Source organism: Homo sapiens, chromosome 3 (assembly GCF_000001405.40).
Source record: "Homo sapiens chromosome 3, GRCh38.p14 Primary Assembly".
In the NCBI taxonomy this organism is placed as follows: domain Eukaryota; kingdom Metazoa; phylum Chordata; class Mammalia; order Primates; family Hominidae; genus Homo; species Homo sapiens.
In genome coordinates this window covers 46,480,155-46,506,082 of record NC_000003.12, presented here as the reverse complement: position 1 = coordinate 46,506,082, position 25,928 = coordinate 46,480,155, and the positions used below count along the sequence as shown (strand labels likewise).

At 48.2% G+C, this 25,928-nt stretch overlaps 2 protein-coding genes across 2 annotated transcripts in view, besides 2 other annotated features; one reads left to right on the top strand and one right to left on the bottom strand.

The window, feature by feature from the left end:
- Positions 1-5,132: 5,132 nt before the first annotated feature.
- On the bottom strand, positions 5,133-8,107 carry RTP3 (receptor transporter protein 3). The gene is made up of 2 exons (NM_031440.2): positions 7,866-8,107; positions 5,133-5,727 (listed from the first exon to the last, which is right to left on the bottom strand). The coding sequence occupies exons 1-2, from the start codon at positions 8,018-8,020 to the stop codon at positions 5,184-5,186; spliced, it is 699 nt and encodes a 232-aa protein (NP_113628.1). The 5' UTR covers positions 8,021-8,107; the 3' UTR covers positions 5,133-5,183.
- Positions 15,952-16,726: an enhancer, noted in NCBI's record as "H3K4me1 hESC enhancer chr3:46530847-46531621 (GRCh37/hg19 assembly coordinates)". NCBI's record gives its function as "activates a minimal SCP1, AML or CMV promoter by ChIP-STARR-seq in naive H9 embryonic stem cells {active_cell/tissue: H9 hESC(naive)}" and the evidence as "EXISTENCE:reporter gene assay evidence [ECO:0000049][PMID:30033119]".
- Positions 16,727-17,503: an enhancer, noted in NCBI's record as "H3K4me1 hESC enhancer chr3:46530070-46530846 (GRCh37/hg19 assembly coordinates)". NCBI's record gives its function as "activates a minimal SCP1, AML or CMV promoter by ChIP-STARR-seq in naive H9 embryonic stem cells {active_cell/tissue: H9 hESC(naive)}" and the evidence as "EXISTENCE:reporter gene assay evidence [ECO:0000049][PMID:30033119]".
- LTF (lactotransferrin) overlaps positions 20,849-25,928 on the top strand; it is a 49,590-nt gene continuing 44,510 nt past the window's right edge. The window contains exon 1 of the mRNA NM_001321122.2: positions 20,849-21,097. The gene's annotated coding sequence lies outside the window, so the exon portion shown is untranslated. The remainder of the gene's footprint in view (positions 21,098-25,928) is intronic.

The window sequence follows — 25,928 nt, the reverse complement described above, 5'->3', positions numbered from 1 at the left end:
TCTTCTAAGGCAAGGCCCACCTGTGGTCATTTTTTCCTGACTTGTTTATCAAGTTTCGGTCACTCATTCTTCCACATGAATTAAACACACATCTTTTTCAGTTTCAGAAACAGTGTGTCCTTTGCCAAAGAGTGAGCTAGGATCACCCATGAATACACATGAGGAGAGAAACGGCAAATGGGTAAAGTGGAAAACACCATTTTCATTTCTAAGCTGTTCATGGCCAAATGGCATGCAGAGAGCCCAGCAGTGCTCAGTCCAGATGTGGCAGGCTCATTCACCATGCAGCCCTTCTTTCAGCTCACACAGCTGTGCAGAGGCTCCTCCCTGGGTTAGGAAGCAGGGAAAGGTGAGGAGAACCGGGCCCTGCCTCAGACACTCCTGGTTCACTAGGAAGCCAGTCAGCACTAGAACTGGGTGGAATAGAACAGGGGCTACGTAGAAGGACAACCAGCACTAGTGGAATGAAACCCTCACCAGAGGGATGACAGGAGGCACCGCAGGGATACTGTCACTTCAGTAGGGAATTAAAAGATGGACATGGTCTCATGAGTAGCTAAGAAGAGGCAGAGGGAATTTGTGAGCAAAAGCCTAGGAGTGGGAAAGATAAATTAGCCAAGGCATGGTTGTAGGTGTGGTTTGAGGGGACAGGTGGGAGATGTGAACTGCCAGAATGACATTCCAGAAGGACAATGTGAGGATGCAATGTGCCCTAGAGGGAGCACTAGGATGCAGGCAAGGCACAACTCCAGTCGATGGAGGGGGGCAGATGGGGAGAGGATGGGGATGGGGTGAGTGAAAAGAAGTTATTGGCTGTAAGTGACTATTACACTAATTTCCATTGCATAAATGGAAGGATTCACATTTCTAGTTTTTTTAAAAAAAGGTGTGAGAAGGAGTCTTAAAATTAATGTCATTAATCAAGACAGAGCATGTTCAAAAGACTGCTTTGGTTTCAGAGTCCTGGTGATATGGTTTGAAAGTGTCCCCACCCAAATTTCGTCTTGAATTGTATTTCTCATAATCCCCACGAGTCATGGGAGGGGCCCACTGGGAGGTAATTGAATCATGGGGGCGGTTACCCTCATGCTATTCTTGTGATAGTTAGTGGGTTCTCACGAGATCTGATGGTTTTATAAGGGACTTTCCCCGCTTTGCTTGGCACTCATTCTCTCTTTTGCCACTCTGTGAAGAGGTGCCTTCTGCCATGATTGTGTTCCTGAGGCCTCTCCAGCCATGTGGAACTGTGAGTCAATTAAACCTCTTTTCTTTATAAATTACCCAGTCTTGGGTATTTCTTCATAGCAGCGTGAGAATGGACTAATACACCTGGTAAGAATCTGTCCACAGACTTCCACATTTGCTCCTTTAGAATGGGAGTCCTCAGTATTTCTTTTTTATTATTTTTATTATTTTTGTGATCATCCAGCCCAAAATGTCAGTCTCAATGTTTTTGTTGTTGTTGTTGTTGTTATTGTTGTTTGTCTTTTTTGTTTTGTTTTATTTTGAGACGGAGTCTCTCTCTGTCGCCCAGGCTGGAGTGCAGTGGCGTGATCTCGGCTCACCAAAAGCTCCACCTCCCAGGTTCACACCGTTCTCCTGCCTCAGCCTCCCGTGTAGCTGGGACTACAGGTGCCCGCCATCATGCCTGGCTAATTTTTTTTTTTTGTATTTTTAGTAGAGACGGGGTTTCACTGTGTTAGCCAGGATGGTCTCGATCTCCCGACCTCGTGATCCTCCCGCCTCGGCCTCCCAAAATGCTGGGATTACAGGCATGAGCCACCAAGCCTGGCCTCAGTCCCAGTGTTTTTGATTGGACAATGGGGTTAAAAAAAATTGAGCATGCATTCCAAATGTGTGTGTATTTGTTATTCATGCATCCTCTGCATACTTATGCATACCATTATTCTAATATATTTGCATACATTATAAAAACATACCATAAGAAATAATAAACTTTAAAGAAAAACTAAACAGGATATCTCTCCCTCCTCAGTGGTGCATCCTGCCTTACCCCTCAGTCACAGGTGGCCCCAGGGAGACCACTCCCTGAGAACCCATGTTTTCAGCCTAACTGGCTCCTTCCTCAGCAGACTCACACTGTGGCAGTCTCCCCTCATCTCCACCAGTTTTGTTTCTCAATATTACTTTGCTCATCTCAAAGGTTACCTAGATTTAAGGGCCCTCTTAAATTCTCCCTTTTGACTATTTCTTTTCTTTCAGCCTCTCTCTCTGTGCTCCTCCCACTGACTCTCAACTTCAGGGAAAGGGGGAGGGTGCAGGGGAGAAAATCTGGAATAGAAGTCCTAGAAGCTTCTGGCCTTGGGCTCTGAGCAGCTGTGGACAATGCCCCAGCCACTGTGGGTATTCCGAGGATGAAGAGCAGCTGTTTATGTGGAAGGGTGCTAGGAACGTGCTATATTTTGAATATTTGACCTTTTAAACTTCATGATGAAATTGGACCCCCAGTGTTAGAGGTGGGGCCTAATGGGAAATGTTTGGATTATGGGGACGAATCCTTCATGAATGGCTTGGTGCCATCCTTGGTGTAATGAGTGAGTTCTAGCTCTTAGTTCCTGCCAGAGTCAGTTGTTAGAACCCGGCACCACCCCGCACCTCTCTTGCTTCCTCTTTCCCCATGTGATCCCTACTTGTGCTGGCTCTCCTTCACCTGTCATGAGCAGACACAGCCTGAGGCCCTCACTCGAAGCAGATGCTAGTGCCATGCTACTTGTACACTCTGCAGAACTGTGAATGAAACAAGCCTCTTTTCTTTGTAAATTACCCAGACTCAGCTATTCCTTTACAGCAACGTAAACAGACTTAGACAGTATGCCTGTGCAGGGAAGGGCCCATAAGCCAATGCTGGTCTCTCATCTGCTTAAGCTTGACAAACATAATTCCAGGATCTATTTGGAACACCCTCTACTGTCACCCAGGCCTACCCACTCTGGAAACAGATATTTATCAACATAAATACCAGCTTGCATTACCATCCCTTATCTGGCAAAGCCAGGGCAGGCTTGGTACTCTCTTCCCTTCCCCTAGGGGGTGGCTTTGTCATGACCCTCCATACACTCACCTCAGTCTTCCAACCCAGAGGCCACTCTCCTTGGAACAGGGTCAATTCCCAGCCTAGACACTCACTGTCAACTCTTTCTGAATACTGCACTGGGCCCTCGTGTGTTGCTGGGAGGAGGCCATCTCTGGCCTTTGTATACTGGGAGATAGTGGGAGCTCAGGGAGGGGTGTGGGTCTCCTTTCACTTTCCTGCTGACCTGCTGGAGGCCTTAGGTCAAATTTTAATTTGCACAGGAGCAATACCAGTATTCATCCGGTTCAGGTCATGCCCCAAGCCCACCACTTGGACACCCCCTTCCTCTTCCCTGCAGACACTAGGCAGCAGCTGTCACTGGTCAGACAATATATTTGTGAGCAGGTGTATGTATGTCAGAGGGTAATTTTTTTTTTTTTTTTGAGACAGAGTCTCACTCTGTCACCCAGGCTGGAGTGCAGTGGTGCAATCTTGGCTCACTGCAACCTCTGCCTCCTGGGTTCAAGTGATTCTTGTGCCTCAGCCTCCCAGTAGCTGGAATTATAGGTGCATGTCACCACATGTTTGTATTTTTAGTAGAGATGGAGTTTCGCCATGTTGGCCAGGCTGGTCTTGAGCTCCTGAGCTCAGGTGGTCTGCCCAACTTGGCCTCCCAAAGTGCTGGAATTACAGGCGTGAGCCACCAGACTTCAATTACTTCTTTAGAAATTAGGCATTCCCTTAGCAGTGATAGATTTTTATGGTTATCTGGAATATTTAAAATCAGAACTTTCTATCTAGCCAGGTAACGTGCCCCCTTACATCCATCTTTCAACGGAAGTTTTATAAAGTCAATCCTTTGTTCGATTTTACTAAGAAAAATCTCAGCTTTGGTTCAGTCACTGGGAGGACATGGTCTAAGGAGCAAATAGTTTCTGAGACTCTGTCCTCTGAACATGAAAAATTCTGGTTAGCTAGTAGGAATCCCAGAGCTCCAAGCTGACAGCCCTCACGTGAGCCTTGTGGGTGAGAACTCCACATGTGGACCGCATGTGTTAGTAAAACAGAGTCATTCACAGTTCAAAGCCATTTGAGAATGCACAGGTCAGCCCCATTATTCGTGGAGTCTATTTGTGATTTTGCCTGCCTGCTGAAATCTATTAGTAACCCCCAAATCAGTACTCATGGTGTGTTTGTGGTCATTCACAGACATGTGCAGAGCAGGGGAAATTGGAGTCACCAGCACCTGTGTTCCCAACTGAGCCAGAGCAGGGCTTGTGTGTTCCCTGCCTGTTTGTTCCAGCTTTTGTACTATAAACAAGCGTCCATCTCCTGATCTATTTTGCCATGCGTTTCACATTTTTGTGCTTCTGTCAGTGATTTTGCTGTTTCAAACGGCCCTTGAGCATAGTGCAGAGTGCTGTCTGGTGTTCCTAAGAGTGAGAAGGCTATGATATGCCTTATGGAGAGAATATGAGAATATGTGTGTTAGAGAAGCTTCCTTCAGGCCTGGGTCATGATGCTATTGGCTGTGAGTTCCCCGTTAATCAACAATTTATACTAATTACATTATCTTTAAAAAGGAAACACCCGGTGGCACATCCTGCCTTTCCCCCTCAGCAGCATACACACCTCCCTCCATGGGGACAACTGTTTGAGAACCCAGGTTTTCATCCTGATGCTTTTGCCCTCACAGTCTGACCTCAGAGGGTCTGTGCAAAATTCCCTGGTGAGGGGGCCCACAGGCTTCACAAGATTTCCAAATGGTTTATGAATCATAGACACTTCAGACTCAGTTCTCTTGAGAGTGAACACAATTGTGAAGGCCTTTTTAAAAAATACTGAAGTGAAAGTCACATAACAAATTTAACCATTGAAAGTGGACAGTTCAATGACATTTAGTGCATTGACACTGTTGTGCAACCGCACCTCTATCTCAGTCCAAAACATTCTCATCACACCTCTCTCCTCCACAAAAAAAACCCATCAGGATTAAGTAGTTGCTTCCCATCTCCCACTATCTCTAGGCCCTGCTAGCAGTTCATCTAATAGATTTGCCTATTCTGGACCTTTCACATAAATGAAATCATACAACATATGACTTTTTGTATCTGATTTTTTTTCTGACTTAGCTTCATGTTTCCAAGGCTCATATAGCAGTTTTTACAACAATCACCACGATAACAATGAGAATGACACAACAGCAGAAAATGCTTAAGTTCCTACAGATGTGGTTTTGGCATGCGTAGGAATAGACATTCTCTCCTGAGGCCCAGGGCTTAACTACCTCCTCCACCTTGTAAATGGAGTGTACTCTTGGGGTCTGAGATGGGGGGAGGCTTGTAACCTGTATGGGCCCAGCACAGAAGCCCTGCAGACATGCCTCACAGTTGTCACTATTGTGTGGCCCTTCAAGAGAGATGTCCTTGATCATAGGAACCTCCTCTATCAACTGAAATCTTCCTCTATAGCATTTCTTCAGAATTCGGAACACCAGGTTTTTCAGGATCCTTGAGATGTTCTCTTGTGTGAACTCAGGGTCCTCAAACAGAGGTTGGGGGCACTTCTTACATCTCTGGGTAAACACCCTCATCTTCACCTGGCCCCTGGACTTCTCCTCACTCCAGTTCATGTGGAAAAGGACCAGAACTTGGGCAGAGGCCCAGTTACGAGAGCAGGAGGAGCACTGGAACCTGTGGAGACAGAAGAGAGTCTCAGCCTGGCTCCATGTGACCAAATCACGGGGAACTGCCAGAGAGAGAAAGGAGCTACCGACTGCACAGAGACATGACTTGACTGGGGCTGTGGCTCAGTGGTGGAAGAAATTGCTAAGACCTCTTTCCCATCTCCATTGTGCCACTGACACACTGCATGCTGCACAGTGTCTGCTATGAAAACAGTGAATTGCAAGCTGTTAGATCTGGGAGGGACCTTGGGCATCTTCTAAGTCCAACACGTCCATTTTAGAGATGAGGCACACTCTGGAAACTCCTCATGTCCAGAGACCCAGTGGGTGTAAAAAGGCATGACTGGGACTGTGGTCTCCCTATTCCAAAGCAAAGCTTCTTCAAATGTAGATTCAAATGGGTCAGAGGCCACAACTGCAACAGCAGCCAGTTCAGTTCAGGACCCTGAAATCCACAAATGCCTATAGGTGGGTGTTGATTAAGTTATAGACTCATGGGTTGGCGGTGGGAGCCTGAAGTGTCCAGGGTTCTCCTAGAGGAAAGCCTTTGCCTTTCTCTTGGCTGCCGAGGGTCCCTGGTCTGCGGTATTGCAGGGAGATCACAGTGTCCAGCTCTCTCTTCATTTGTTTCCCCTCCAACCCAGTTCCCTTGCTCAAGGTAGCCTGGAAAACTTCATATTCTGAATGCCACTGGCTTCAGACAGGATACAAGATAATACACCTTGTCTCAGCAGGGAGGAGGGCAGTTTTTGAGCTAAGGTATCTGGACAAATACATGTCAGGAGGTAGAGAGAGAAGAAGGCAGGAAGCACATGGCTGCACCTGGGAAAGGAATTATGGGAGAGGCAGAGAGCTGCACTGTGGCGGAGACATTTAATGCTCACCAAATTATCCATGCACTCCCTCCCACTTCCCAGCCCCTTTGCCGTGAGGCTGGGGCCATGGGACCAGTTGGGCAATGAGATGAGGCCAGCAGTGATATATGTTCCTTCCAGATATGGTCACAGAAGCCTTGGTAAGACATTCCAGCTCTCTCCTCCTCTGCTTCGGTGACCTTGGGAGCCACGTGTAAGGTTAAATCAGTGATATTTCCAGGTTTATTTGTCACTGTGGCTGAGCCCCCGATGCCTGGATACAGAGAAATTAGGCTGCAGGTGGTGAATTGGAGGGGGCTGGGAAGAGGGAGTTAGTCCAGGGTGTGCTCCTGTATCTTGACTCTAGCCGCAACCCACAGGGTGAATGCAAGGTTGAAATGAGAGGGAGAGGCCAAGAAGCTGTGATCACTGTGAGAGGACCTTGCTGGGAGTCACCCAGAGTCAGCAGTGCAGAGGGGCCTGGGCCCTGTTCTGAGCAGAAGTCCACTGCCATCCCCTGGGTCTCAGTGCTCTGTTCCTGTGCTTGTTCAGAGTTCAAACTTCCCATGGATAAATGGACTGAGACTTTGGTGCAATGCTCCCTATGGCAGCTCCTGGCCTGGGATAGCCATAGGCCAGTGGGAGAGCTCTGCCCCCTCTATGTAGACTCTCCCTGGGAGGGGACAGCGGGTGGGACCCGGCCTCCACCCTCTGTGCACTGTGGGCAATCAGCCCCAAGCCTTGGGGCTCCCCATTTCCACCTGGGAAAGAGAGGATGAGGCTTAGGATGATTTCTAAGACTCCTATTTTAAAAAGATTCTATCAGCTCAGAGTAGAGAGGGGCAGGATTGCTGCCTGTTGCCCAGGCCCCCTGCTCCTCCGGCCTCCCCCGAGGGTGTCTGCTCAGTGCCGTGAGTCTCTCCTCCTAGGGGCTCCAAGGTGGGTCCAGCAGTCTCCCTAGGCATGGGGCACATGCACCGCCCGTGGGTGCAACAGCTGCCCTTCCTCCCCTCCCCTTTCCTGGCTGCTCCCTCTCCCCACCCCCACAGACTGATTTCTCTGTATCCAGGCATTAGCTCACAAGGGTGCTCAGGCCTGCTCTTGCTTTGGGGTTCATTGTAATAGTGAAAAAACGATCTTTAATGAAGTTACAACTTCTTGGATGATGGGCATCTTATTACCCATAGTCTTCAATTTGAAAGCACAGAATAGAACAAGAAAAGTAACAGGTATACCTAGTAAGAAATGTGCAAGAATTTTCTGGAACGTGTACCATCACATTCCCCCTCACCTGGCGAAGGTCCACTGCTGGTATTGCATCCAGCCTGGCTTCAGGACGTTGGGAAGAAGGCCCTTGTCTGGTCTCAGGGTCCACCTGTGCCATGGCTTCACCTCCCGCATTAACTCCTGAAACATTTGCTTCCACACTTCTGTGTCCCCAGCCATCTCTGGGGCTATGGTGTGCCTGGGTGGGTCGAGCTCTCCTGGGCCCTGGCAGGTCTGTAGTGGGAGATGAGGTTTCTGACTTCAGAGGGCAAGGACTCAGACCTGCCCTCCCTTTGAGGACCTGGATTGGGCCCATGAACCATGTCTCTGCCCCAAGGACAAAGGTCAGTTGGCTCCAAGTTCAGAGGATGGCACTAGGCTCCACAAGGAATTTCAAAAGACACAGAACTTGTGATTTTATTCATCAAAATGTTGCCAAAGAAGAGCTCTAAACTCCAAATCAGGAGGAGTGAATTTCAGTCTGGCTCCGCTGTCTACCTGCCTGTGACCTGGAACACATCTTTTCACTTCCAGCACCACTGTAAACGGTGGAGACAGGCTACAGGTGTTCTTTCCAGTTCTAACATTGGAAAATCCTTCTCCATCAGGCTGCTGTGCTCATGCTGGGGAGGAGAGGCACAGGGAAGAAGGATGAAGTGGTCCTGGGACCTCAGCGGGATTCGGATTCCCATGTCCTTGCTCCATGCTCTTTACGTTCCGGCAGACAGCCAAGGCTGCCCACCCATGAGAAACCAAAGCTGATGCAATCACTGTTTGCCCAGGCGACAGGTACAAGGGCACAGGTCGGTGAGAGGCCATTAGCCCTAGGCAAACCCAGAGTCACTGCCCTCCTTCCTGAGGGGGTTCTCCATCCTCTGCTTCCTGCAAGAGAGGATTGAGGAGGAAGAGGGGAGATTAGGGAGTGGGTACTGGAGTGGGCAACACTCCAGGAAGGTGCACAAGACTCTGGGTGTCCGCATCCCAAGACCCGTCCACAAACTGCATGTGTCTTCCTCGGGGCCAGGCACTGACCTATGTCCCTGGCCACCTCCCAAGAGGAGGAGAGGAAGGAAGGGAGCAGAGCAGGAAGGAAAAAGGAAAGGAGGCTGGGGATGCAGGGGGATGAGGAGGTCTTCCAGGGCAGTTGGAAACAAAGCCACCTCCTTCCTCCTCTCCAGCCCAGCTGCCTGCAGCTCTTGCCCTTGGGTTTAGCTCCTCGGCAGGCTCAAGTCCTGGGTCTCCCCTCTTTCCAAGCCAGTTTTGTTTCTCAGCATTAGAGCTGTCCCTCAGTTCCAGGTGGATTGGTTCCAGCGCCCCCTGCAGATAGCAAAATCCTCAGATGCTCAGGTCCCTTATACAAAATGACATAGTATTTGCATATAATCTATGCACATCCTTCTGTATACTTTAATTGATCTCTAGATTACTTATAATACCTAATACAATGTAAATGCTATGTAAATAGTTGTTACACTTTATTGATTTTAAACTGCTAACTAAAAATAAGTTCCTAAGCCCCCAAACCAACTGAATGGACTAGCTTTTGGCCAAGGGGACCCCTGAGAAACCTGAAAAACTAAATTCCCAGCTATGACAGGAGGGGAGGTTGGAAACACCTTATCATACTCCCTCCCTTTGACTTTAGGGACAACTCACCAGCATCAAGGTTAAAACAGAGATCATAAGACTGACAAAATAGACTGCTTGTTGCAATCAGATAACCAATTTATAAACAAGACCTAAGGCTATGCATGGTAAAAGTTATGCCCTACAAACCATAATATCTCATTAAAGGGAGTTTTATTAACCTGGTATAATGGAGCTACTTTCCAACCTGACTCTGGTATAGCATCGCATGACAGAGAGCAGACTCCCTTGACTTTGGCATTCCTTTTGCTGACTTCATCTGTATACAAGGCTTAAGTCATTGCTACATCCCGAAAGAGATGTCCACCTTTGAATGTGACCACATTTGGAAAAAGGGTTTCTGCAGATGTAATTAAGTGAAAGATCTAGAGATGAGGTCAGTTTCATGAAATTTAAAGTTTCTTTTGATGGCGGGACACACCACAATGACACGAAGATAGATAAAAGGCAGAACTATTTGTTAGTTATACCTCCAAACAAGGCAAGGCTGCCAGGCAGGCCCACAGAGGGTGCCTGGGGGCAGAGCAACAGCCAGCTGGAGCTGTGAGGGACAGTTTATGGGTAGGAAGTTGGGGAGTTGCGTGGGGCTAGCTAGGTTTCATGGGCTCCCTGTGGATTGGCTCATTTAAATAATTCTGAGTGCTCCAGGGCATAGGGACTGCCTCTAGTTGTCTAGTACTATTACAGACAAAGCTGGTTTCCCCACAAATGGGATCTTTTCCTGTTTAGTGCTGCAAAGCCAATATGCAAAACCAAAAGTGAATCTTAAGCAGCACAAGTTTTATTCAATGGCCATGGAATTGAGAAGCGGGAGCTTGGCTCACAAATCAACTTCTCAACTAGTGAGGGAAGAAGGATTTCTCTCTTTTTTTTTTATTTTATTTTTATTTATTTATTTATTTATTTATTTATTTTTTGTTGATCATTCTTGGGTGTTTCTCACAGAGGGGGATTTGGCAGGGTCATAGGACAATAGTGGAGGGAAGGTCAGCAGATAAACAAGTGAACAAAGGTCTCTGGTTTTCCTAGGCAGAGGACCCTGCGGCCTTCCGCAGTGTTTGTGTCCCTGGGTACTTGAGATTAGGGAGTGGTGACGACTCTTAAAGAGCATGCTGCCTTCAAGCATCTGTTTAACAAAGCACATCTTGCACCGCCCTTAATCCATTTAACCCTGAGTGGACACAGCACATGTTTCAGAGAGCACAGGGTTGGGGGTAAGGTCACAGATCAACAGGATCCCAAGGCAGAAGAATTTTTCTTAGTATAGAACAAAATGAAAAGTCTCCCATGTCTACTTCTTTCTACACAGACACGGCAACCATCCGATTTCTCAATCTTTTCCCCACCTTTCCCCCCTTTCTATTCCACAAAGCCGCGATTGTCATCCTGGCCCGTTCTCAATGAGCTGTTGGGCACACCTCCCAGACGGGGTGGTGGCCGGGCAGAGGGGCTCCTCACTTCCCAGTAGGGGCGGCCGGGCAGAGGCGCCCCTCACCTCCCAGACGGGGCGGCTGGCCGGGCGGGGGGCTGACTCCCCCACCTCCCTCCCGGACGGGGCGGCTGGTCGGGCGGGGGGCTGACCCCCCCCACCTCCCTCCCGGACGGGGCGGATGGCCGGGCGGGGGGCTGACCCCCCACCTCCCTCCCAGACGGGGCGGCTGGCCGGGCAGAGGGGCTCCTCACTTCCCAGTAGGGGCAGCCGGGCAGAGGCGCCCCTCACCTCCCGGACGGGGCGGCTGGCCGGGCGGGGGGCTGACCCCCCCCACCTCCCTCCCAGACGGGGCGGCTGGCCGGGCGGGGGCCTGACCCCCCCACCTCCCTCCCGGACGGGGTAGCTGCCGGGCGGAGACGCTCCTCACTTCCCAGACGGTGTGGCTGCCGGGCGGAGAGGCTCCTCACTTCTCAGACGGGGCGGTTGCCAGGCAGAGGGTCTCCTCACTTCTCAGATGGGGTGGCCGGGCAGAGACGCTCCTCACCTCCCAGACGGGGTCGCGGCAGGGTAGAGGCGCTCCTCACATCCCAGACGGGGCGGCGGGGCAGAGGCACTCCCCACATCTCAGACGATGGGCGGCCGGGCAGAGACGCTCTTCACTTCCTAGATGGGATGGTGGCCGGGAAGAGGCGCTCCTCACTTCCTAGATGGGATGGCGGCCGGACGGAGACGCTCCTCACTTCCCAGACTGGGCAGCCAGGCAGAGGGGCTCCTCACATCCCAGACGATGGGCGGCCAGGCAGAGACGCTCCTCACTTCCCAGACGGGGTGGCGGCCGGGCAGAGGATGCAATCTCGGCACTTTGGGAGGCCAAGGCAGGCGGCTGGGAGGTGGAGGTTGTAGCGAGCCGAGATCATGCCACTGCACTCCAGCCGGGGCACCATTGAGCACTGAGTGAACGAGACTCCGTCTGCAATCCCGGCACCTCGGGAGGCCGAGGCTGGCGGATCACTCGCGGTTAGGAGCTGGAGACCGGCCAGGCCAACACAGCGAAACCCCGTCTCCACCAAAAAAAATACGAAAACCAGTCAGGTGTGGCAGCGCGTGCCTGCAATTGCAGGCACTCGGCAAGCTGAGGCAGGAGAATCAGGCAGGGAGGTTGCAGTGAGCCGAGATGGCAGCAGTACAGTCCAGCTTCGGCTCGGCATGAGAGGGAGACCGTGGAAACAGAGGGAGAGGGAGACCGTGGGGAGACGGGGGAGACCGTGGGGAGACGGGAGAGGGAGAGGGAGAGGGAGAGGGAGAGGGAGAGGGAGAGGGAGAGGGAGAGCTGGATTTCAAAGCTTCATCCATGCTGAGCTGCAAGGGGAATGGACAGAACTGGAAACTGGGGCAGACTGGAGTTGCCAGCCTAGGCTGGGCTGTGAGCTCCATGGAGCAGATGCCGGGCCATCCTGTCCCGGCTCTAAGCCCAGCCCCAGGCCAGGGCTGGCACCTGGTAGGCTCTTCATGAGTGCTTCCTGAATGAATGCTGCAGAATCAATTTTTTGTATTTTTAGTAGAGACGGGGTTTCACCGTGTTGGCCAGGATGATCTCGATCTCCTGACCTTGTGATCCGCCCGCCTCAGCCTCCCAAAGTCTAGTTTTTGGTTTTTGTATTTTTAGTAGAGATGGGGTTTTACCATGTTCAAGAAGGATTTCTCTAATGAAGGGGTTGAACATTAGAAATGAGGGGAGGAATATTCAGGTCTTTTCTGGAGATGGGTGGCGAACTTCTTGGAAATGGAGTGCTGCTTTCCTTTTTGTCCTTTTATGGCCTCTTTTGGTCATGGTCATGGCGATTGTCAACTGCCATGGTGCTTGTGGGAGGGTCATTTAGCATGGAAATGACATTATAATAAAGCCTCAGATCTTTCTGAAGTCATTTGATTGTCTATCTTGGTTCTAACCAGTCTTAGTTGGTCTGGTTACAAAGGGAAATTTGTATCACAGGTGTCCTATTTCTTAAAGATAAGCAGAGGTAGAATGGGGTAGAAATTCAGCTATGTCACAGAGGCATTACACCAGGTATCATTTCCTGGCCTTGGGGTTACTAGGGCAGGTGCACAGTGATCAGGAGTGTGACGGCCAGATAACAAACGTGGTTGGAGTGTGGACTGACTCCTCTTTAGCCAGGGCCTCAAACATCATTAAAAAACAAAACTAAGCTATATTGCAAGACTGTCCTGGATTTGGGGTAGGCCTTAAACCCAGTGACAGGTATCTCTATAAGGGAGCGGCAGAGTGAGATTTGAGACACAGAGACCTAGGGGAAAGCCATGTGGAGACATGAGTTAAGCTGGCACAAGCCAAGGAACACCTGAAGCCCACAGAAGCTGGAAGAGGCAAGAAAGGATTCTCTCTAGACCAGCCTTTATAGGAGGCATGGCCCTGCTCACACTTTGATTTTGGTCTTCTAGCCTCCAGAATTATGAGAGAATTCATTTGTATTAAGGCGTCCAGCTTGTGGTATTTTGCATGGAAGCCTTAAGAAATGATACACCTGCGTTTAAACCCTCCTTGACTTCCCAGCTGTCCTGAGGGTTGGAGCCACCTGCCTGCTCTCTACAACAGGTACAAGAATAGGAAGCAACTGCAGCTATACTTGTGCTAGTGTGGACTTTCCTTTTCCTACCTGCCACCACTTCCTTGGGTTCAGGTCCTCACTATTTGACTGGACAATTTTGGTTTATATCCCCGAGTATTGTCTTTCAAAAATCATCCTTTACAGAGCGCCAAAGAGCCTTTTAAAAATTCAAATGCCACCCCCTGGCTAAGCTGGCCTCCTTGCTCTTCCTTTCACAGAATAACCTGGAGCATGGCTCATTCTGTCAGCTCCTCTGGGCCTCCTCTTGAATTATTAGGGAGGCCTTCCTTAAATTCCCTCAATAAAGTGGCAACTCTCTCCCTCTCCTTCCACACTCTCTTTCTTTCTCACTATTCTGTTTTTCCACAATTGTTCATTTTTTAATCACCTCTTGACATAGCCTTGGTTTCTAGGAAACTGCCAGTCTTGACATAGAAAAGCAGGGAATTTTTGCTCATCTGAACAGTGCCTGGATATTCAGTAATTATTTGAATGAATGTTGAATGAATTCTGTCCCAAATTCTGTTAACTCTATAGAACTATCCCAGTCTGGGGTTCCAGGGGTGGGAGGAGGGAGGACGGGGATGGTCTTGCAATTGCTCTTATTACAGTTTTTATGAGGGCAACTGTCCACAGTTTTCTGGATCTATGCATTCTCTGGGGAATCCTCCATTTCCTCTCTGATAACTTACCACTTTTTCTGTTGGGGCTTGCTGGTGTGTCATCATCTCAGACCTAATGACACTTAAATAATTCCCTCTTTTAGTTTCCCAACTGTAAGAGCCTTTGGGTCAAGGTAAGCCTCTTTTCCCTTTCAAATGTGGCCAGCCTACCCTCTGTGATCTTATTCTCCAAAGAAATTGCTCTCTCGGTCAAGTTTAACGAAAATGCTTTCCACTATTTTTCTTTCCTTTTACACTGTCCCTGTGCTGAATGCAAGATCAAAAGTTTTACCAGCCAGTTTAGTTCCTCCTTGAAGCTGAGATGTGATTCCTAAGAACAGAATTTTCCAGGGCTGGTACTTTTAAAAGTTTCCTTTGAACGACTGGTTTTATGATTCAACTGAGAATTTTTAACTGCAACCCAATGAGAAGACTTGCCCTCCATGTTCTAAAAGTTCTCATTTCTGATGACCTGTTCATTGGCTGAAATACACCACTTCCCTGAGATAAAATTCGCAGCCTGCGCCAGGGCTTATGTAAACCAACAATCCAGAATCAATATGAGACCATGTGAGTTTGGAAGTCTGTGGATGGCTACAGGAAATCCCTCCTTGCCCAGCAGTCGGGGCAGCTCAGGCAGCGGCACCTACTGAACCTAGACCAGATATCCACGTGTGCTCCCAGGCTGCAGAGGTTCCTAACTGGCAGAGCTCCTGGGGCCTGCTCTTGCCACGAAAATGGAAAACCTCCAAAGTGGGCAGTGGCCCTCGCTGCTCCTGGTCCTTCTGTCTTCTGGAACTTTTTTGTCACTTGTGTGTTTCGAATTTGTTTTTTTTTTTTCATAATTCTGTTGTCAATGGCATAAAAAAGGCATACATAAAAATGATTATTATTTTTATTACGTGGTTTTGGTCTACACAGCCTCCTCCCAACCCTGTGGCAGGAAACATGAAACGCCTTCAAAGGGGTGTTGGAAGAGCCTGCTGACCAAATACCAAATGTTTATAAGCCTGTGGAGCAACAGGGACAAATATAGCTGCCACTCTTAGAAATTAGTACAGCCACTTTGGGAAACAGTTTGGGATTAAAGATACACATGCCCTGTTCAGCAATTCTACTTGTATGTATACCATCCAGATAAACATTTGCACGTATAGTATACTGATATGTATTAGAATACTTATAGAAATACAATTTTAAAATAGAAACAACTGGAACACTCCTCTCTCCTCCCAGTGAACAGATAAAACCTTTTGTTAGAGTCATCCAGTGGAATTCTATGCGGCAGTGAAAATGAATGAACTAGAGTAGGGTTTGGTCACCTTTGGCCCACAACCAAATCTGGCCCATCACGAGTTTCTGTGTGGCTCAAGAACTAAGAATGACTCATAAAGATGGATATTTGAAGTAGATAAAAAATAGTCACTTTGATATTTTCCCCAAAAGAATTTCATTATTCTAGATCTGTATTACAAAACAATTGATTTGATTATTATTATTTTATTATAATATTACATTTTGAATTTCATCAACAAAGTTTTGTGGTAATTTGTCTTCCTTCTTATACCTAGATAAGGACCTACATAATATCTTTGATTTGCCTCTTGGTCCACAAAGCCTAAAATATTTATTATCTGGCTCTTTACAGAAAGAGGTTTGCCATTCCCTAAACTAGAGCTACATAGATCAACATGGGCTTATCTCACAATCATGGCATTGAGTAAAGAATTCAAGCTGCTGGAGCTTCTACACAACAAAATACCTCTTACGTGAGGAACAAAACCACAATGCCATCACTTAGGAAATCATGCACTTGTAGTTAAGAACATAAAGAAATTTATAAACATAAAGGAGGGTGGATGAGAGGTCCTGTGGCTGTGCTGGGGTTGTGAGCTACCCTGGCTATGGTAGTATTTCCAGTTCAGGCTTGAGAGAGTGAGTGCTACCTACCCTTCTAAATGCTGCAAAGAGTATCACTGAGCAAAGGATGCCATGATCAGCACAGGGAACAGAGAACACACTGGACTCAAAGGAGAGAAAGTGAATTTGTAACTTTGGGTTCCTTTAAGCCTGGTTTTCTTGTGATCCCCGCTCTCTTACTGTTGAAGCTGTGGCCAACCTGTTCCTGAGACCAGCCTGCCTCAGGTCCCTGCCTGAGTAGCTCTGCCTGTGGGGCAGTGGAGAGTATGTCTCACGTCCCTGGACCAGGTGACCCATGGTTAGTGGCTCCCAGGCCAAGCTCCAGGTGAACGTTCAAGGCTGGGGTTTGACAGTGGGATGCTAACCAGCCCCGCTGCTCCTGCCACCAGCCCAGGGGCACAGGGCACGAACCAGAACCTGCATTTCTCATCCCACTGGCCTTGGTCCCCAAGGTGCTGCAGTAATTGAGCTGCTTTTTAAATTAGGACACATTCCTCTGGGGCCAAGGCTGGTCTTCTTTCCCAGAGGGAGTGATCCTAGGACAGGAGAGGAGTTAATGAAGAAACTGCATTGTATCCTCGTGCTGAGGGAGTGCACCCTGGGAAGGACAAGCTTGGAAGGGTTCAGACTTCTTGGAGGTGCAGTCAGCACACCTGCTAGCAGAGGACTCTCACCGGTTTGGTCAGGCTGGCGCTGGCCAGGAATTTGTTGGGCAGGCAACAGGCCACTGTCTGTAAGCCGACAAAGGAGCAGGGGATCGGGAACCAGTGACATGGGCATACAGTGGGGACAGGAGGCCTTTTGAGCGCCTGAGCCACTGGAGGCTTGCAGGAAGTGCTGCAGCTCAGCATGGAACCTTCGGGGCCACAGGGCAGGCGGGAGCTTGGAGAGGAAGTCTGGGCGCCAGCACGGACAGCAGGCCTGCAGAGCACACAGGCTGCTCGGAGACTCCGAGGTCTGTGTTGAGAGGGCTGCAGAAAAGGTCATCGCCACACCCAGGCTGCAGGTGCAGCAGACCGCAGTCCTCACACCCGGACCGCCCTCCCGTGGCCCTCACTGGAAATGGCAGGAGCGCCCCTTCCTCCTGCAACGTCCCTCCACCGCCCTCTACCGAGCAATCTTGCCGAGCTCACTGAAGGAGAGAGATGCTTGGAGAAGTCCACGTCAGCGCATATGCTATATTGAAGGACGCGTTCGGAGCTGGGAGACAATGCATAAAAAGCATATAAACTTTATTACAAATTCATTATATAACCGCACCAGTGGGGGCTGGGGGAGAGAAGGGACTGGCCTAAATAACATTGGAAGATAATATTTTGCCTGGAAATTATTAGGCTAAAGATGAAAGGTACTATGAACAATGTACTCTAATTGATAAATATATATATATATATATATATATATATATATATATATATATATATTTATTTATTTTTGAGACAGAGTCTTGCTCTGTCTCCCAGGCTGGAGTGCAATGGCGCGATCTCGGCTCACCGCAATCTCCGACTCCCTGGTTTAAGCGATTCTCCTGCCTAAGCCTCCCAAGTAGCTTGGATTACAGGCAATGCCACCATGACCAGCTAATTTTTGCAATTTTGGTAGAGATGGGGTTTCACCATGTTGGCCAGGATGGTCTCGATCTCCTGACCTCATGATCGTCCCGCCTCGGCCTCCCAAAGTGCTGGGATTACAGGCATGAGTCACTGTGCCCGGTCGATAAATTTATTTTACATAAGGGTACCCAGGTTAAGGATTCTGAAACAGCTTCATGGGTGTACTGGGGATGAGCAAATAAGTAAATACATGAGAGAAGGTGGGCCAGGTTGTTCACACTGTGGGAGAGGAAAGTTACAATTAACAAGAAAGGAAGGCTGGAATGAATCCTGGAGATGGGATTACAGTTGGAGACATCAGTACGATGCTCAGTATATACACAGATGGATAGATACAGAAACAATGTGGATATGTGTATATCTAATAATTTAGTATGTATGCATATATTACCTGGCTCAGTCAGCTGAGAGGGCCTAGAGGCAATGACACCCCAGTGCTCACATCTTGGTTTCTAAATACCTTTCTCCAATAAAAGAAGCAAAGGCTCCTTGGAGAAATGACTGATAAAATACAAGAGCCTGGAGCATCTTGTAGCACCAGAAAGAAAGGAAGTACTCAAAAACAAAAAGGGTGGGAACACATCAGAGGGACACAGGAACCAACCTGAAGGAGCTCCCAATGGCCAATGCTGGAACGATGTGAACAACAAAATAACTAACATAGTATTGTATTGTGTTATAACCCAAAGTATTAAATATAAGTGAGGCTATTCTGATATAAATGATTGAATAAATAGAGTACAAAGACGAATCTTTTTTTTTTTTTAACAGAATTTGAAATAGCATGTTAGACAGTCCTCCCTCCAGGGGATGAGGCTTAGTTCAGCTGCTACCATCCTCTTTCTGGGTAGGCTAGACACTTCCAAATAACAGAGTATGGAAACGGAAAAAGAGTAACTAGTAGAGAAACCTGGTAGATACTACCTTTAACCCAGTGATGAAGGTGAGCATCACCAGTGTGGATGTAATGCACCCTCTAATAGGTTGTGATAAGAAGGGTGCTCCTCCTCTGTAGTGTGCTTCCCCCCAACCTGTAACCCCAGTCTAATCGTGAGAAAAACATGAGACAGACTTAGACTGGGGGACATTCTACAGGATGCCTGACCAGTACTCCTCAAAACTGTTGAGGTCATTAAAATTAAGGAAAAACTCAAAAACTGTCACAGCAGATCAGAGGAGGCTGGGACAAATGACAAGTAAATGCAATGTGGTATCCTGGATGGGATTCTGGAACAAAAAAGAGGACATTAATAGAAAAGTTGATGGAATCCAAATAAGGTCTGGCATTTAGTTAATAGTAACATATCAATGTCAGCTTCTTAGTTTTGACAAATATACCATAGTAACGTAAGATGGTAACAATGGGGGAAACTGGATGAGAGGTGGATGGGAAATCTCTGAACGGTCTTTGTAACTTTACTGTAAAACTATACCAAAATAAAAAGTTTATTTTAAAACATGGATGTATTGGGCAGGTAAGTTCTCCTTTGTGAGACCCAGTTTTCTTACTTGTGAAATGAGGCAAATAGTCTTCTCCGGGTCCTGCCAGGCCATGATGAAGAAATGTCTTTGTGGTCAACAGATGCACTGTGCATGTTGAGGTACGGGGGCTGGATAGTGAGGCCAAACTTGCGCCTTTACAAGGTATCTTGGTCCACCTATGTGGCTGAGCTGGACTTCTTTTGGCCCCACAGCTTTCTTTACCCCTCTCTGTGGAGAGTGGCAGTTCTGGTGTCTATCGTACCAAAGTCTTCCCAGCTGCAATTCATTCTACTGCTTTTGTTCCCTCCTCTGGGAATATATGAGTTCCCTAATGCAGCCTGGAGATCACCTCATCTTCATGGATGGAATATAGGCTTCTGAGAAACAAACTCCCCCATTCAAACCCAAAGAATGGACTCAGAGACCCCGAGAATAGCGAAAGTGAGACTTTTAATGATGGTCTTGCAAGATTGGGTGTGTGGCATGCAGGCACACCCAGCAAAGTTTCAACAAGCAATTTATACCCTAGTGCGCAGGTGCCTCCCCCGGTTCCCAATAGGCTGAGTACTATGGGGTTACAATCTTCCTGGATGTTGCCTATTGATTGTTAGTCAGGGGCTTCAGGTGTTTTGTTTGTTTGTCTGTTTGTTTTTAGGGTTGTTTTGGTGCATTTTGTTGCAGCCCACAATGCATTGCAATCCTGGTTAGCTTAGGGGCTCTTTAAGTATTTGACTTATGACCTAAGTAGCTGGGCAGGCTGATAAGAACAGACAAAGCAAGCTATTTTGCAGACTATTAAACTTTTACCTTAGACTAAACTTCGTTGGTTCAGGTGAGGGCAACCAAGTGTGGCGGAAGGGGGAGGAAAGGGGAGGCCAACAAGCAGGCCTTGGCTATCCAAGCAGGAGCCTAGTACATTCTGTTTCTTCTGCAGTTTGCTGACCTAAGCCGATTCAAGGCACTTTGTCTTGGAAATGGACCACTGTATACATTATTTCCTTCAGACCTGTCTGGGCCTTGGTCTCCAAAACCAGAAAATGGCAGCAACAATGAATGCGCCACAAACTGCTGCATATGGAGGTGAACCCTGACCCCAAGGCTTTGAAGACTTTACAGGGGTGAATGTCAACATTTGCTGGAAGCAATAAAGCTAATCAATGTGAATGGATGCTTTAAGAGTGAGTGACTGGGCACAGGCAAGGGTTAGGGTTGAGGGCCTCCTGGGGCTGGGGCACCTCCTGAAGTCTCTTCCTCAGAGGAGAGCCTGCAATTCTCCCTAGGAGCCATGTTGGGGCCTCTGCCCCTGCCCCCAGCCTTAGCCTGTGAGTTCAGCATTCCTGTGACTGCACTAAGCAAGCAGATGGTCCTCAATTCCACCAGCAGCTGTCACCGAACTGTGGGTGGACACCTGCCATACAGGGCTTCCTCTTTCCCATGCAGAAACTGCTGGCACTCCCAGAGGGAGGGAAGGTGGGAGCTCTTCTGAGGGGCCAGGAAGTTCTGGAAAACTTCCCCTCAGCCGAGCTCCCCACCTTCCCTCCCTCTGGGAGTGCCAGCAGTACCTGCATTCCCGCCCATTCTGGCTCTCCAGCAGGGAGCTCCGCCTCACTTCCCAGTGGACGGTGACGTGGCCTTCACAGCTGGCCTGAGTGAGCACAGCGGGCACTGAGGGGAACAAAGCGTGGGGGCCCTCCAGCAGCCCTTATCATCACCTGCCAGCCACCTGCCTCAGGCTGGGCAGGCTGCACCCTGGGCTTTCTGCTATTGGCTTCCCAGATCCCTGGAACTCCAGCTGGGGCCCTGGGCTGTGGTCTGACTTGATCCAGAATTTAATGAGTAGAAGGAATGGAAGAAGGCTCATTCCCCCAGCCCTGGTAGGTGCTCCCAGAGCCAGAGGAGCTGGCTCTGCTCCGAGAGCAGCCGGGTCCCAGAGAGGGTCTGTAAGCAGTGGGGCTGGCCAGGGAGGAGGCATCATCCCAGGGCCAGGCCCATACATCTTCCTTTCTTCCCCAGCAGCCCCCAAGGATGTGAAAGAATTGACCTCTCTGCCCCGAGGTGGTGGGTAGGGGCATGGGGTGAGACACACTGTACACCTTCAGGTGTTAGCACCTGCTGGGAATGTCTGACTTCATTTTTCATCTGTTTCCTTATTCCTCCTCTGGGCACTTTTAATGTTCTTGCTTCATCAAGTTTAGCTAATTTTGATTGACAACAATATGCTGGGGCCCCCAGATCATAAGGGCTCAGTTCCAGCATGGGAGGAGGGTGGATATTGGCAGAACATTCCAGGCCCTTCTTGGCACTGCCTTCCCAGCAGGGACATGCAATTTTTTAGGGGAGCAAGGGTAGGGGTGTTGTGAGGACAGCACAGCCCCTAAGGCCTGACGCTGCCTGGAGGGAACCTCAGTTTCATCTTGCCCCAAGCCTCAGTGTCCTGATCTGTGAGATGGGGATTATGGTCACAGGACCTACCTCACGGAGATGGCTGAGGATCAAGCAGTGTTCAGAGCAGCATCCTATGGTAAGTGTTCAGAAGATGTTCCCCAAAGTCTGCCAAACAACTTTGTTCTTTCTTTCCTCCCTAGTTTTTACCCTTTGCTAGCCAGAGCCCAGGCCCCAGCTCAAACACCTATGCCACTATGACTTGGGTAATCATGACTATTGTCCATTTACGAATTTCCATGCTCTTGTCTTCTCCGACCCCTCCCTTCCCTCTTCAGCCATTGACAAGGGTTGACATTTGAGGGAGGAGGCCATATTTCAAGAAAGCTTTGCTCTGTAGCCTCCAGGGGGCCTTCCAAGGGCATCTCTGGTACATCCCAAACAAGGACAGCACCTCTGGGGAGTGCCAAGGTTATTTATGAGGCCAAAGTCATTTGTATGCCTTCCTGCTGGGGGCTTTTAAAAATAAACTTTTGGCCAGGGTGCAGCAGCTCACATCTATAGTCCCAGCACTCTGGGAGGCATAGGCAGGAGGATTGCTTGAGGCCAGGAGTTTGAGGCTACCCAGGCCAACATAGCAAGATCCCTGTCTCCGTTTTTTTTTAAACTAAATAAAATAAAATAAACTTTATACTGACACCTAACCTACATATAGAAACATGCACAATTAATATTTGTGTAGCTAGATGAGTTATCACAAAATGAACACTTTTGTGTAATCACCACCCAAATCAAGGAATAGAAACATTTCCACCCCCAGGCTCCACTCTTGCTCCTATTAATCACTTTCTTGCCCCTCTTCCCCAAGGTTAACACTCCCCTATCTTGTGGCCTCACGGGCACTGATTTTTACTGTTTGTGAGCTTCACATAAATGCAGGCAGGTGGTAGGTGCTCTTTTGTGTCCAACCTCTTATGCTCAATACTATGCATGTGAGATTCAACCATATTGTCGTGGGCAGCAGAAGTTAGCTCATTCTCACTGCTTAGTTGATAGTATTACAATTGATTTATCCATCTACCACTCACAGACATTTGGGACATGTATGGACAATGCTCTTATCAACATTCTTGTTTGTGTTTTTGGTGTACACATGTATGCATTTCTGCTGGGCGTACACCTAGGAGAGGAGAGGCTGGGTTCCAGGCAGTGCTGTGCTGGAGTTGGCTCATTCTGGCTCATGGGAGCTGGCTGTTAACATTGTCAGGGATTTGCAAAATTTTCCCCCATTCTGATTTCCCTTTCCCTTGCATTCCTGTGGCTCTTGAGGTTATTTCAGCCTATTGTATCTGTATGGTGGGAATGTTATACAACAGTGGAATATCATTCATCTCCTCCCAACTCCAAATTCAGTGGCACCCATCCATGTCAGCAGCTTGAACTCAGTCATTGGAGGAGTTTTTACACCACAGAAACTGGCAAATGCTACAAATCAGGGCTTCATAGGTTTATTGTTTTGTTGATTGTCCAAAGTTAGACTTAAGAAAGTGATAGAGAAAATGTTTTTCTTTCTTTCTTTTTCTTTCTTCTTTGTTTTCTTTCTCTCTCTTTCTCTCTGTCTGTCTCTTGTCCCTCCCTCCCTTCCTCCCTTTCTCTTTCTTTCTTTCTTTCTTTCCTTCCTTCTTTCTTTCTTTCTTTTTCTTTCTTTCTTTCTTTCTCTTTCCTTCTTTCCTTCCTTCCTTCCTTCCTTCCTTTCTTTCTCTTTCTTTCTTTCCTTCCTTCCTTCCTTCCTTCCTTCCTTCCTTCCTTCCTTCCTTCTTTCTTTCTTTCTTTCTTTCTTTCTTTCTTTCTTTCTTTCTTTCTTTCTTCTTTCTTTCTTTCTCTCTCTTTCTCCCTTCCTTTCCTTTCCCTTCCCTTCCCTTCCCTTCCCTTCCCTTCCCTTCCCTTCCCTTCCCTTCCCTTCCCTTCCCTTCCCTTCCCTTCCCTTCCCTTCCTTCTCCTTTCTTTTTTGACAGAGTCTCACTTTAATGTCCAGGCTGGAGTTCAATGGTGTGATCACAGCTCACTACAGCCTCAACCTCCCAGACTCAGGTGATCCTCCCACCTCAGCCTCCCTGGTAGCTGGAACTACAGGTGCTCGCCACCAAGCCAGACTAATTTTTATTTATTTATTTGTTTATTTTTGGTAGAGATGGGGTTTCTCCATGTTGTCCAGGCTGGTCTCCAACTCCTGGGCTCAGGCAATCCACCTGCCTCGGCCTCCCAAAGTGTTGGGATTACAGGTATGAGTCACTGTGCCCAGCCTGAGAAAATGTTAATAATGCAGACTAAACTTAGGTGTGTGTCATCTCTATAGCTGTGACATTGTGAGTCGCATAAAAAGTAAGAAAATATTTCTCCAGTATCAAAAAACTATTATCTGATTCATGAAAAAAAATGCTTATGTCATTGATGAATGGGTGACGTTCTGAGACATGTGCAGTGTTTTTCTCTTTCTTCTTACTCTTTACCACAAACACCTCAATAGTTTTTATTTTTTCAATAATTCAATATTTTTCCAATATTCTTGTTGGAACTCTATTTTCAGAGATGGTTATTAAGCACTTGCCAGCCCACATTAGTCATTAGGCATATCCTGCTTTAACTGATGCTGCCAAATGGTTTTCCAAAGTGATTGCACCAATTTCTACATCTGTTGGTGGTTTTTTAGTTTTGTTTTATTTTGTTTTGACGGAGTCTTGCTCTGTCTCCCAGGCTGGAGTGCAATGGCACAATCTCGGCTCCCTGCAACCTCTGCCTTTCAGGTTCAAGTGATTCTTCTGCCTCAGCCTCCCGAGTAGCTATGATTACAGGCACCTGCCACCAGGCCCAGCTAATTTTTGTATCTTTAGTAGAGATGGGGTTTCGCCATGTTGGCTAATCATGACAATAGTCACAATTACCCAAGTCTTAGTGGCATAGGTGTTTGAGCTGGGGCCTGGGCTCTGGAGAGTAAAGGGTAAAAACTAGGGAGAAAAGAAAGAACAAAGTTGTTTGGCAGACTTTGGGGAACATCTAGGTACCCAAAGTGCTGGGATTACAAGTGTGAACCACCACACCTAGCCCTGTTGGTGGGTTTTAAAGCAAAGTTCATTTGTACTTTGTCCTCCTATCTTGGGACCAGCAGTTTCCTGGACATTAAAGCTATGGCTAAGGGAACAAGCTGGCCAGCCTAGTTGATAATTGTCCTAGGAAAGGATTCCATAAGCAGTTGCTAACTTCTACAGGACCACTTGCTCAGGGGTGATCCAGGCAGGGTGGTGAGTTGCAGGATGGAAGAGGTCACAAAGGTGCAGGTACTGAGCTTCCTGGAGGGGGGCTGCACTCAAATGGCCCTGAGAGTTGGAGGGGCCAAGGAGAGACATCATGCACCAGGGCAGGGACAGCCTGTGAGTGCTGTGGGCAAGGAGTGTGGCTGGGCCGTGCTGCCTATCAGCAGTGGAGGAGGGTGGAGGCTGGGGCACTTCCACTGGCAGTTGTGTACCTGCTGTCCAGGGCTGCTGTCTTTTATGTGTCAGCCCCCATGGCCCACCTGGAGGGGAAGCTGCATGGCTGTCCCTGGGGCAGATGCCTAGTTTGAGGAAGTTTTGCTTCCTTCTTGAGACTTCTCTCCTAGGTTTAATTCTCACGTCTTGTATTTCACTGCTCAGATCTAGTCTCAATACGTTCTTTTGTGTACTGACAATGGTGGGCAATGCAGAGTGACCCGTAAAATAACAAATCAACATTGTCCAAAGCTGCACACAAACCCTTTTGAGGCCCGTGAATGTGCCATTGTCCTCTTTGTAGCTGGGACACACATTTCCTGCTATTACTCTCATGGAAAGGCCATGATGCTGTCAACAATTGACCACAAGCAGGTTTTAATTTGAAATTCCCAGAGCCAGGCCCAGCACCAGATAGGGACCATGCAGAGAAAAGCTTTAGTGCCTCTCTGGGTCCACGAGCAAGGAAGGAACCAACGTGCATGAAATAAGGCAGGAGAGTGGCAGGTCCCTGCAGCCAAGGGCATGACAATCCATCACCACAGGCACAATGGGCATGGTGTGGAAACATCAGAGTGGGGTTTCAAGGGTAGTTAGGAAGGTTGCGGAGTCCAAACTCTGGAAATGTGAGAACAATCCAGGGACATGATACAGAGCATTCTACAAACCCCAGGAGCTGGACACAGCAATTTGTGTGAATAGGCATTGTTCTTGGAGGAAAATGAGCCCATGGTCCAAAAATTAGTTTTAAATAAAGTTCAAGGCCTCTAACTTTGGCTTTTATAGCAACAATGCCATT

What these genes read in the sequence shown, in the direction of transcription:
- RTP3 (NM_031440.2), bottom strand. Translation starts at nt 8,020, where the DNA reads ATGGCTGGGGACACAGAAGTGTGGAAGCAAATGTTTCAGGAGTTAATG. An exon ending in CAGCAGTGGACCTTCGCCAG is followed by an intron (nt 5,728 to 7,865) that starts GTGAGGGGGAAT and finishes CTGTCTCCACAG; the next exon opens with GTTCCAGTGCTCCTCCTGCT.